The sequence below is a fragment of the Homo sapiens genome, chromosome 17, assembly GCF_000001405.40.
Source record: "Homo sapiens chromosome 17, GRCh38.p14 Primary Assembly".
Classification (NCBI taxonomy): Eukaryota; Metazoa; Chordata; class Mammalia; order Primates; family Hominidae; genus Homo; species Homo sapiens.
The window spans coordinates 9,610,280-9,623,452 of record NC_000017.11 but is presented as its reverse complement, the minus strand read 5'-3'; the positions used below and the strand labels follow the sequence as shown (position 1 = coordinate 9,623,452).

General features: G+C 40.2%; 1 protein-coding gene across 8 annotated transcripts in view; it reads right to left on the bottom strand.

Annotated features, from left to right (window-relative positions):
* CFAP52 (cilia and flagella associated protein 52) overlaps window positions 1-13,173 on the bottom strand; it is a 68,913-nt gene that overhangs the window by 22,102 nt on the left and 33,638 nt on the right. For 7 of the 8 annotated variants that reach the window (XM_047435437.1, XM_047435439.1, XM_047435438.1 and 4 more), the window contains one exon: window positions 10,974-11,144. In XM_047435437.1, the coding sequence (XP_047291393.1) occupies window positions 10,974-11,144 (171 nt within the window). Of the gene's footprint in view, window positions 1-10,973; window positions 11,145-13,110; window positions 13,163-13,173 lie in introns of all 8 variants that reach the window. The other variant, XM_047435441.1, reaches the window with a different exon arrangement.

Here is a 13,173-nt window from a genome sequence, read left to right as displayed (position 1 = left end):
TTTAATACAAACATATGAAAGATTATATTAAATGTAAATGGATTAAACATTCCAAATAAAAGCAGAGATTATCAGAATGGATAGAGAAGTAAAAACCAAGTATATGCTGTTTCAAGAGATGTACTTTGAATATAAAGACACATGGAAAAATAAAAGGGTTAAAAAAGATATATCATGCTAAGAGTAAGCATAAGAAAGCTGTAATGAGTACATTAAAATTATACAAAGTTACTTCAAATCAAAGAGAATTACTAGAGACAAAGAGGAACACTTTAATAAAAATGTCAATACAGCAAAAAGATATAACAAATAATTAACAGCACCTAATAACAGAGCTTTAAGATATGCAAAACAAAAACTGTGAGAAATAAAGGTGGAACTCTACATTCATTGCCTGAGACCTTAACATTTTTCTCAGTAAATGATAATACAAGTGGACTAAAAATCAATAAGGAGAAGAAGATCTGTATGACACTAACTACATTAAAAGCTTCCACAGAGAAGAAAAAAGATCTCCAAAGTACATATTGAAATATTCTATTTACATAAAGTTCAAAAGCAGGTAAAACTAATCTATGAGACTAGTTCAGGTAGTAAGTAGGAGGGTGAGGGTAGTGATTGGAAGGGGTGTTTGGGGGATGATAAAAATGTTCTATTGCTTTACCAGGGTGGTAGTCATATAGGTGTGATAAGTCACTGAGGTGCTTATTTATGATTTATGTATTTTGCATATATGTTATACTTCAATACAAACTCCATTAAAATTCTTTTTATACTGCACCAAACTGTATTCAAGTCTGAGGGTAAAACAAACATATTTTCAGGTAAGCAGGGACCAAATTTTCTTTTTTTCTTTCTTCTACTCATCATCATCATCATCTTCTTCTTCTTCTTCTTCTTTTTTTTTTAATAGAAACAGGGTCTTACTCTGTCACCCAGGCTGGCATGCACTGGTGTGATTGTAGCTCATGGTAGCCTCAAACTTCCTCCCACCTTAGCCTCCCGAGTAGCTGGGACTAGAGGCAGTGCCACCAACATGTCCAGTTTATTTATTTAGTTTTGTAAAGATGAGGAAGGGGTGTCTCACCATCTTGCCCAGCTAGTCTCAAACTCCTGGGCTTTAATTATCCTCCCACCTCAGTCTCCCAAAGTGCTGTGATTACAGGCAAGAGCCACTGCACCTGGCTGAGACCATATTTTCTGTATATAGATTGTTTCTGAAAGAATTCCAAAACAAAAAGAATCTAAGGGGATTGATGTGTTAAAAAGAGAGAGAGAGACTGATAATAGCAAAGATCTAGAATTCCAAATAATTTCAACACAGGACATGGTGGAGGAAAGGTGAAAATAAAAATATGCTGAGACTCTTGCCTTTTTGGCAGATTAGATACAAACATTGGTTAACTGTAGTCTTTGATGAAAAACTATATTTATTTATTTATTTTTTTATTATACTCTAAGTTTTAGGGTACATGTGCACATTGTGCAGGTTAGTTACATATGTATACATGTGCCATGCTGGTGCGCTGCACCCACTAACGTGTCATCTAGCATTAGGTATATCTCCCAATGCTATCCCTCTCCCCTCCCCCGACCCCACCACAGTCCCCAGAGTGTGATATTCCCCTTCCTGTGTCCATGTGATCTCATTGTTCAATTCCCACCTATGAGTGAGAATATGCGGTGTTTGGTTTTTTGTTCTTGTGATAGTTTACTGAGAATGATGGTTTCCAATTTCATCCATGTCCCTACAAAGGACATGAACTCATCATTTTTTATGGCTGCATAGTATTCCATGGTGTATATGTGCCACATTTTCTTAATCCAGTCTATCATTGTTGGACATTTGGGTTGGTTCCAAGTCTTTGCTATTGTGAATAGTGCCGCAATAAACATACGTGTGCATGTGTCTTTATAGCAGCATGATTTATAGTCCTTTGGGTATATACCCAGTAATGGGATGGCTGGGTCAAATGGTATTTCTAGTTCTAGATCCCTGAGGAATCGCCACCCTGACTTCCACAATGGTTGAACTAGTTTACAGTCCCACCAACAGTGTAAAAGTGTTCCTATTTCTCCACATCCTCTCCAGCACCTGTTGTTTCCTGACTTTTTAATGATTGCCATTCTAACTGGTGTGAGATGATATCTCATAGTGGTTTTGATTTGCATTTCTCTGATGGCCAGTGATGATGAGCATTTCTTCATGTGTTTTTTGGCTGCATAAATGTCTTCTTTTGAGAAGTGTCTGTTCATGTCCTTCGCCCACTTTTTGATGGGGTTGTTTGTTTTTTTCTTGTAAATTTGTTTGAGTTCATTGTAGATTCTGGATATTAGCCCTTTGTCAGATGAGTAGGCTGCGAAAATTTTCTCCCATGTTGTAGGTTGCCTGTTCACTCTGATGGTAGTTTCTTTTGCTGTGCAGAAGCTCTTTAGTTTAATTAGATCCCATTTGTCAATTTTGGCTTTTGTTGCCATTGCTTTTGGTGTTTTGGACATGAAGTCCTTGCCCATGCCTATGTCCTGAACGGTAATGCCTAGGTTTTCTTCTAGGGTTTTTATGGTTTTAGGTCTAACGTTTAAATCTTTAATCCATCTTGAATTGATTTTTGTATAAGGTGTAAGGAAGGGATCCAGTTTCAGCTTTCTACATATGGCTAGCCAGTTTTCCCAGCACCATTTATTAAATAGGGAATCCTTTCCCCATTGCTTGTTTTTCTCAGGTTTGTCAAAGATCAGATAGTTGTAGATATGCGGCATTATTTCTGAGGGCTCTGTTCTGTTCCATTGATCTATATCTCTGTTTTGGTACCAGTACCATGCTGTTTTGGTTACTGTAGCCTTGTAGTATAGTTTGAAGTCAGGTAGTGTGATGCCTCCAGCTTTGTTCTTTTGGCTTAGGATTGACTTGGCGATGCGGGCTCTTTTTTGGTTCCATATGAACTTTAAAGTAGTTTTTTCCAATTCTGTGAAGAAAGTCATTGGTAGCTTGATGGGGATGGCATTGAATCTGTAAATTACCTTGGGCAGTATGGCCATTTTCACAATATTGATTCTTCCTACCCATGAGCATGGAATGTTCTTCCATTTGTTTGTGTCCTCTTTTATTTCCTTGAGCAGTGGTTTGTAGTTCTCCTTGAAGAGGTCCTTCACATCCCTTGTAAGTTGGATTCCTAGGTATTTTATTCTCTTTGAAGCAATTGTGAATGGGAGTTCACTCATGATTTGGCTCTCTGTTTGTCTGTTGCTGGTGTATAAGAATGCTTGTGATTTTTGTACATTGATTTTGTATCCTGAGACTTTGCTGAAGTTGCTTATCAGCTTAAGGAGATTTTGGGCTGAGACGATGGGGTTTTCTAGATAAACAATCATGTCGTCTGCAAACAGGGACAATTTGACTTCCTCTTTTCCTAATTGAATACCCTTTATTTCCTTCTCCTGCCTGATTGCCCTGGCCAGAACTTCCAACACTATGTTGAATAGGAGCGGTGAGAGAGGGCATCCCTGTCTTGTGCCAGTTTTCAAAGGGAATGCTTCCAGTTTTTGCCCATTCAGTATGATATTGGCTGTGGGTTTGTCATAGATAGCTCTTATTATTCTGAAATACATCCCATCAATACCTAATTTATTGAGAGTTTTTAGCATGAAGGGTTGTTGAATTTTGTCAAAGGCTTTTTCTGCATCTATTGAGATAATCATGTGGTTTTTGTCTTTGGCTCTGTTTATATGCTGGATTACATTTATTGATTTGCATATATTGAACCAGCCTTGCATCCCAGGGATGAAGCCCACTTGATCATGGTGGATAAGCTTTTTGATGTGCTGCTGGATTCGGTTTGCCAGTATTTTATTGAGGATTTTTGCATCAATGTTCATCAAGGATATTGGTCTAAAATTCTCTTTTTTGGTTGTGTCTCTGCCCGGCTTTGGTATCAGAATGATGCTGGCCTCATAAAATGAGTTAGGGAGGATTCCCTCTTTTTCTATTGATTGGAATAGTTTCAGAAGGAATGGTACCAGTTCCTCCTTGTACCTCTGGTAGAATTCGGCTGTGAATCCATCTGGTCCCGGACTCTTTTTGGTTGGTAAACTATTGATTATTGCCACAATTTCAGAGCCTGTTATTGGTCTATTCAGAGATTCAACTTCCTCCTGGTTTAGTCTTGGGAGAGTGTATGTGTCGAGGAATGTATCCATTTCTTCTAGATTTTCTAGTTTATTTGCGTAGAGGTGTTTGTAGTATTCTCTGATGGTAGTTTGTATTTCTGTGGGATCGGTGGTGATATCCCCTTTATCATTTTTTATTGTGTCTATTTGATTCTTCTCTCTTTTTTTCTTTATTAGTCTTGCTAGCGGTCTATCAATTTTGTTGATCCTTTCAAAAAACCAGCTCCTGGATTCATTGATTTTTTGAAGGGTTTTTTGTGTCTCTATTTCCTTCAGTTCTGCTCTGATTTTAGTTATTTCTTGCCTTCTGCCAGCTTTTGAATGTGTTTGCTCTTGCTTTTCTAGTTCTTTTAATTGTGATGTTAGGGTGTCAATTTTGGATCTTTCCTGCTTTCTCTTGTAGGCGTTTAGTGCTATAAATTTCCCTCTACACACTGCTTTGAATGCGTCCCAGAGATTCTGGTATGTGGTGTCTTTGTTCTCGTTGGTTTCAAAGAACATCTTTATTTCTGCCTTCATTTCGTTATGTACCCAGTAGTCGTTCAGGAGCAGGTTGTTCAGTTTCCATGTAGTTGAGCGGCTTTGAGTGAGATTCTTAATCCTGAGTTCTAGTTTGATTGCACTGTGGTCTGAGAGATAGTTTGTTATAATTTCTGTTCTTTTACATTTGCTGAGGAGAGCTTTACTTCCAACTATGTGGTCAATTTTGGAATAGGTGTGGTGTGGTGCTGAAAAAAATGTATATTCTGTTGATTTGGGGTGGGGAGTTCTGTAGATGTCTATTAGGTCTGCTTGGTGCAGAGCTGAGTTCAATTCCTGGGTATCCTTGTTGACTTTCTGTCTCGTTGATCTGTCTAATGTTGACAGTGGGGTGTTAAAGTCTCCCATTATTAATGTGTGGGAGTCTAAGTCTCTTTGTAGGTCACTGAGGACTTGCTTTATGAATCTGGGTGCTCCTGTATTGGGTGCATAAATATTTAGGATAGTTAGCTCCTCTTGTTGAATTGATCCCTTTACCATTATGTAATGGCCTTCTTTGTCTCTTTTGATCTTTGTTGGTTTAAAGTCTGTTTTATCAGAGACTAGGATTGCAACCCCTGCCTTTTTTTGTTTTCCATTGGCTTGGTAGATCTTCCTCCATCCTTTTATTTTGAGCCTATGTGTGTCTCTGCACGTGAGATGGGTTTCCTGAATACAGCACACTGATGGGTCTTGACTCTTTATCCAACTTGCCAGTCTGTGTCTTTTAATTGCAGAATTTAGTCCATTTATATTTAAAGTTAATATTGTTATGTGTGAATTTGATCCTGTCATTATGATGTTAGCTGGTGATTTTGCTCATTAGTTGATGCAGTTTCTTCCTAGTCTCGATGGTCTTTACATTTTGGCATGATTTTGCAGCAGCTGGTACCGGTTGTTCCTTTCCATGTTTAGCGCTTCCTTCAGGAGCTCTTTTAGGGCAGGCCTGGTGGTGACAAAATCTCTCAGCATTTGCTTGTCTGTAAAGTATTTTATTTCTCCTTCACTTATGAAGCTTAGTTTGGCTGGATATGAAATTCTGGGTTGAAAATTCTTTTCTTTAAGAATGTTGAATATTGGCCCCCACTCTCTTCTGGCTTGTAGGGTTTCTGCCGAGAGATCCGCTGTTAGTCTGATGGGCTTTCCTTTGAGGGTAACCCGACCTTTCTCTCTGGCTGCCCTTAACATTTTTTCCTTCATTTCAACTTTGGTGAATCTGACAATTATGTGTCTTGGAGTTGCTCTTCTCAAGGAGTATCTTTGTGGCGTTCTCTGTATTTCCTGAATCTGAACGTTGGCCTGCCTTGCTAGATTGGGGAAGTTCTCCTGGATAATATCCTGCAGAGTGTTTTCCAACTTGGTTCCATTCTCCACATCACTTTCAGGTACACCAATCAGACGTAGATTTGGTCTTTTCACATAGTCCCATATTTCTTGGAGGCTTTGCTCATTTCTTTTTATTCTTTTTTCTCTAAACTTCCCTTCTCGCTTCATTTCATTCATTTCATCTTCCATTGCTGATACCCTTTCTTCCAGTTGATCGCATCGGCTCCTGAGGCTTCTGCATTCTTCACGTAGTTCTCGAGCCTTGGTTTTCAGCTCCATCAGCTCCTTTAAGTACTTCTCTGTATTGGTTATTCTAGTTATACATTCTTCTAAATTTTTTTCAAAGTTTTCAACTTCTTTGCCTTTGGTTTGAATGTCCTCCCGTAGCTCAGAGTAACTTGATCGTCTGAAGCCTTCTTCTCTCAGCTCGTCAAAATCATTCTCCATCCAGCTTTGTTCCGTTGCTGGTGAGGAACTGCGTTCCTTTGGAGGAGGAGAGGCGCTCTGCGTTTTAGAGTTTCCAGTTTTTCTGTTCTGTTTTTTCCCCATCTTTGTGGTTTTATCTACTTTTGGTCTTTGATGATGGTGATGTACAGATGGGTTTTCGGTGTAGATGTCCTTTCTGGTTGTTAGTTTTCCTTCTAACAGACAGGACCCTCAGCTGCAGGTCTGTTGGAATACCCTGCCGTGTGAGGTGTCAGTGTGCCCCTGCTGGGGGGTGCCTCCCAGTTAGGCTGCCCGGGGGTCAGGGGTCAGGGACCCACTTGAGGAGGCAGTCTGCCCGTTCTCAGATCTCCAGCTGAGTGCTGGGAGAACCACTGCTCTCTTCAAAGCTGTCAGACAGGGACACGTAAGTCTGCAGAGGTTACTGCTGTCTTTTTGTTTGTCTGTGCCCTGCCCCCAGAGGTGGAGCCTACAGAGGCAGGCAGGCCTCCTTGAGTTGTGGTGGGCTCCACCCAGTTCGAGCTTCCCGGCTGCTTTGTTTACCTAAGCAAGCCTGGGCAATGGCGGGCGCCCCTCCCCCAGCCTCGTTGCCGCCTTGCAGTTTGATCTCAGACTGCTGTGCTAGCAATCAGCGAGATTCCGTGGGCGTAGGACCCTCTGAGCCAGGTGTGGGATATAGTCTCGTGGTGCGCCGTTTCTTAAGCCGGTCTGAAAAGCGCAATATTCGGGTGGGAGTGACCCGATTTTCCAGGTGCGTCCGTCACCCCTTTCTTTGACTGGGAAAGGGAACTCCCTGACCCCTTGCGCTTCCCAGGTGAGGCAATGCCTCGACCTGCTTCGGCTCGCGCACGGTGCGCGCACACACTGGCCTGCGCCCACTGTCTGGCACTCCCTAGTGAGATGAACCCGGTACCTCAGATGGAAATGCAGAAATCACCCGTCTTCTGCGTCGCTCACGCTGGGAGCTGTAGACCGGAGCTGTTCCTATTCGGCCATCTTGGCTCCTCCCCCCGAAAAACTATATTTAAATATGTATATTAAAAATTTAGAGGTTGACTGCAGTGGCTCATGCCTATAATCTGAGAGGCCTGTGCTCTGGGAGGCCGAGGTAGGAAGATTGCTTGAGGATGGCAGTTGAAAACCAGCTTGGGCAACATAGTGAGACCCTGTTTCTGGGAAAAAAAAAAAAAAAAAAAAAAAAGAATTTTTTTTTTGTTTTAATTAGCTGGGCATGGTGGTACATGCCTGCATCCCAGCTACTCCAGAGGTTAAGGCAGGAGGATTGCTTAACCCCAGGAGTTCTGAGCTGTGATTGCGTCACTGTGCTCTAGCCTGGGTGACAGAGGAAGACCTTATGTCCTAAAAGAAAAAAAAACAATTCAAGGGTAACCACTAAATGAATACAAATAAAGTAGATAGTTTCCAAGTTGTATGCAGCAAAGGTTAAAACGGAACCAAATAAAACATGACAGCTACAAGAAAAGACAAAAAGAGTAAACATGTTAAACAGAAAAATATATAAACTTATCAGATAGTAATACTTATGAATGAATTAAATTCTATTAAAAGACTAAGACTTACCTAAAACTAAACACTAATAGGTTGAAAATAAAGAGTTGAAAAAAGACAATACACTCTCTTTTGCTGCAATGCACGTCTCTGTAATGAATATTAGCTCATATGCAATTGGTAAAACTGCAATTATTTTTGCACCAACCTAACAGAATATTACACAAGTTTCATTGGTTCATGCATGATTTAATCTCAGTATAATAATGCTTTGGTATATAAAGTAATAGCAATTGAAAACAAAGAACATTAACACAACTAAATTAGCAAGTAAATGAAGAATGCAGTACCATACATTTATTCTATGTTCTTCCTCTTAGTTTAGTTCATATTCACAACTCAGCAGCCTCAAGTCTTCTTAAATCTCCTTTTAGAAAGTTACCCTTACTTATTAAAAGGCGAAGTCCTATATTTACTGCAGTATTTCTTTCTTATTAGGAATTTAATAAACTCTTTCTAACTGTGCTAATAGTTTATTAAAATTGTGACTGGTTTGTTAGTGCTCTGATTACAAAATTGCATCAGTAGTAAGAGGTCTGGCCTAACCCCAGTGATTCTCAGCTAGGGGTAATTTTGCCACCAGGGGAAGTTTGGCAAGGTCTGGGGACATTTTTTGGTCGTCATAATTGCAGGGAAGGAGCTGCTACTCGCGTCTGATGGGTAGAGCCCAGGAATGCTGCCAAACATCCTTTAATGCACAGAATAGCATCCACAATATCAAGTTATCTAACTCAAAATGTCAATAGTGCGGAGGTTGAGAAATCCTGGCCTAATTCAATTTTTCCCAGAAGTCCTTTTTTTAATAAATAAATGAATTTGTTTAATAAACAAATGAATTTTTATAATAAACGAATTCATTTATTACATTATAGCAAAAATTCCTAATTAGTAAATGTTATTTTAAAGGAATGAAGATGTGGTAATCTTAATATCAGACTAAGTAAAATTGATGGCAAGAGAAATATTTTGAGAGGCCAGGCGTGGTGGCTCACGCCTGTAATCCCAGCACTTTGGGAGGCCAAGGCGGGTGGATCACCTGAGGTTGGGAGCTCGCGACCAGCTGGGCCAACATAGTGAAATCCCATCTCTACTAAAAATATAAAAATTAGCTGGGCGCGGTGGCACATGCCTGTAGTCCCAGCTACCCAGGAGGCTGAGGTGGGAGAATTGCTTGAACCTGGGAGGCAGAGGTTGCAGTGAGCCAAGATCGTGCCACTGCACTCCAGCATGGCAACAGAGCGAGACTCAGTCTCAAAAAAAAAAAAAAAAAGAAAGAAAGAAAAGAAAAAGAAAAGGAAAAGGAAAAGAAAGAGATGCAAAACCCAAACAGATCAATAACTATATAAGCAATTGAAAAGATGGTTTAAAATCTACCCTTAAAAAAAGCACCAGGGCCAAACAGTTTTGCAGATTAATTCTACTAAAGTGCTTATTAAAAAAAAAGAGGGGAAAAAGTGAGACCAAAAGAAAATGACCAACTTGCAAACAAAGATTCACCTAGTGGGAAAGCAGCAGCCATTTTCACTGTTAGAAATAACGTGGAAAGACCTAATCACAGGGATTCAGGGAACGGAAACTACAGCTCAAGATCTCAAAAACTGAGGTCTGAGGCCGGGTGCAGTGGCTCACGCCTGTAATCCCAACACCTTGGGAGGCTGAGGTGGGTGGATCACTTGAAGTCGGGAGTTCAAGACCAGCCTGGCCAACAAGGTGAAACCCCATCTCTACCAAAAATATAAAAAATTAGCCGGGCGTGGTGGTGCATGCCTGTAATCCTAGCTACTCAGGAGGCTGAGGCAGGAGAATCGCTTGAATCGAGGAGGCAGAGGTTGCAGTGAGTCGAAATCCCACCACTGCACTCCAGCCTGGGTGACAGAGCAAGACTCCGCTTCAAAAACAAACAAACAAACAAACAAACAAACAAAAACCCCCCAAAAACAAAAAACAAAACAAAACAAAAACTGAGGTCTGAATATAAGTCTTGCTGAAAGTTGAGTATTATAAATTAAGCTAAGTACTGAGGAAGTTCAGAGCAAAAACTGACCAACTTCATGAAATGAATCTCACCAAAGACAAAATGTGTTACAAAATCAAATACCAGAACATCTGACTGAAGCTCCTTTTGATATCAAAACTGCTGGTAGTTATTTGTTTTACTTGTGCTGGGTGAGATTTACCAAGAAATACAGCAACTAGATCCAGAAGCCCTCGTAATACCCACCACCATGAAGCCTGTGAAATCTAGAAGACCTCAAGAGGTACAAATGACAGGAAAGAAGTTTGAAAACAGGTACCACAGATACTTCGTGTCTTAAGATGGGGCTATATGCCTGATAAACCCAATGTAATTGAAAATATCCTAAGTCGAAAATGCACTTAATACACTTCACCTACTGAACATCCTAGGTTAGCCCAGCCTACCTTAAACATACCCAGAACACTTCCATTAGCCTATAGCTGGGCAAAATCATCTAACACAAATCCTATTTTATAATAAAGTGTCGAATATCTCATGTAATTTATTGAATACTGTACTGAAAGGGAAAAACAAAATAGTTGTATGTGTACTTGAAATATAGTTTCTACTGAATACATTTTGCTTTTACACCATCATAAAATAAAAAAAATCATAAGTCAGGGACTGTCTGTACTAAGCTTTCTCTGGATGGGATTAAGAAAACAGAAAGGTTTTGTCAGGTACTTACCCTTTCCATGAGGGGTTTATTAGAAAAGTCAATATTCTAAAGAAACTCAAATTTGAATTGGAAAGCTAATATAATTGCATGGCAAAGACAATGGAAAGTCTCTTAAAATAATTCACCACGTTAGAAAAATTTAAGGAGAAAAATCATAACTATGTTCATTAATATTGAAAATGCATTCATAAAATTAAATGCCCTGGCACACTGCATCAAATCTCCACATTCTTGTTTTTCTCTTCTACTCACAATGGAAAGACAATATCCTCGACAGCATCAAAGTGACAAGTCGCTATGAGCGTCTCTTTGAAATCCGTGAAGCTGACACGATAAATGTGCGATTCTTCTGTTCCTACGAGAAACTGGTGTCCTTCTCCTCGAAGTGTGATAGAAGTGATGCCGCCTTGTAACTGAATCTTCCTTTAGGGAGAAGCACAAAAGTAAAGTAGATTCACTCAACCAGTAAGTAGTTACGAATCATGTGAAGCATGGCAGAGGATACAAATCAGGCATATAATTTCAGACACGCCCTCACAGAAGTGACACAGTTGAAAAGGCAGGAGTTACTCACAAGTTGGTGTACCCACGAACAGCAAAGCCAGAGGTCAGCATAGGTTAAAGTAGTCAGGAAAGCTTCTTCAGTGAGATAACGTTTTGACATGGGTTGTGCAATGCAGGCAGGATTTGGGTAGAGGGAATATTCCAGGCAGGCATATGGGTACAAATGACCACAGCAACTAACCCCTTTATTAATTCCACTTCTGAAAAATAATCCTAAAATCAGGGGGAAGATGCTTTACGTCAAAGGATGCTATGATAACCCTATCTGAAAGAGTAAAAGGTTGGAAACAACCTAAATACCCAGTTGTAATGGAATAGTTAAATGATCTATGGAACATCAGCTTCATAGGATATTTGCCTAAAAAAAGTTTAAAAGATTATGTAGTACGTGTATATGTTACCATAATAAAAAGATTACATCATAATACTGAAAATGTTTATGATGCTTGCATTAAGTAAAAAATTAGAATACAACATTTTATTTATAAGTAAAATCATTTCAGAGCTTGTACAGTTGTTCATGCCTGTAATCCCAGCACTTTGGATGGCCTAGGCAAGGAGGACCACTTGAGGCCAGGAGTTTGAGACTAGCCTGGGCAACATGGCAAGACCCTGTCTCTAAAAATAAAAAATAAAATAAAATAAATTAGCCAGGTGTGGTGGTGCGCACCTATAGTCCCAGCTACTTGGGAGTCTGAGGTAGAAGGGTCACTTGAGCCCAGGAGTTGGAGGCTGCAGTGAGTCACAATCTCATCCCTGCCCTCCATCCTGGATGACAGAGTGAGACTCTGTCTCAAAAAAAGAAAAAAAAGAAAAACTAGGGGTTGTCTTTGCCAGAACCTTAAGGAGTTGGTTTTTCCTCTTCTACATTTCAGATTTCTCCCTCTTCCCTTTATAATGAGTATGAACTTAAAAAAAAAAAGTATATACATGAATGAGGCCCTAGGATACAGACTCTCTCTGTAACTAGTTTAGTTTAGACAATGAAGAATTCAACGCAGGTTCTTGTGCAAGAAGCCAGCATGGGAAATACAGTGTTTTAGAGATTTATTGGTGGGACACAGAACAGTTAATGACGAAAGGAAGATGACAAGTTAAACCTCAGTTCTTGCACTAACTAGAGGTTTGTGACTCTGGACAAGTTGTCAGAAACCTCTGGCCTCAGTTTACTCAACCACAGAATAATTCCTCCTTTACAAGTGTTGCAGTGAAGATGTTGCTCCTTTATATCTGTTGCTAGCCCACAGATGACAACAAAGAAATACTGGCTATTGGCATCTGGGAACTTCAGAAGACAAAATGAAGCCTAGGGATAAAAGGGGAAGAACAGGCTGGGCATGGTGGCTCACACCTGTAATCCTAGCACTTTGGGAGGCCAAGGTGGGTGGATCATCTGAGGTCAGGAGTTTGAGACCAGCCTGGCCAACAGGGTGAAACCCCATCTCTACTAAAAATACAAAAAAAAATTAGCTGGGCTTGGTGGCGGGCACCTGTAATCCCAGTTACTCGGGAGCCTGAGGCAGGAGAATCTCTTGAACCCGGGAGGCGGAGGTTGCAGTGAGCCAAGATGGCGTCATTGCACTCCAGCCTGGGCAACAGAGCGAGACTCCATCTCAAAACAAACAAAAAAAAAAAATGGGGAAAGGAAAGATCTTGGCACTGGAGCTGTCCATTTTGATCATACATCTTCCCTTTCCAGTCTCCATGACTTCTCATGTGAGCAGCCTTTTCAATCTACAAAAAGCCCAGCAGGTGGAAACCACCGCATCTGATTTAATTCTGCACTGTCACACAGGGTTATTTTGGAAACAGTGATAGCACAAACCTGGTGATAATTACTTTGAGTTTATCTTCATCATAATGGGAATGTACACACACTAAAAACAAA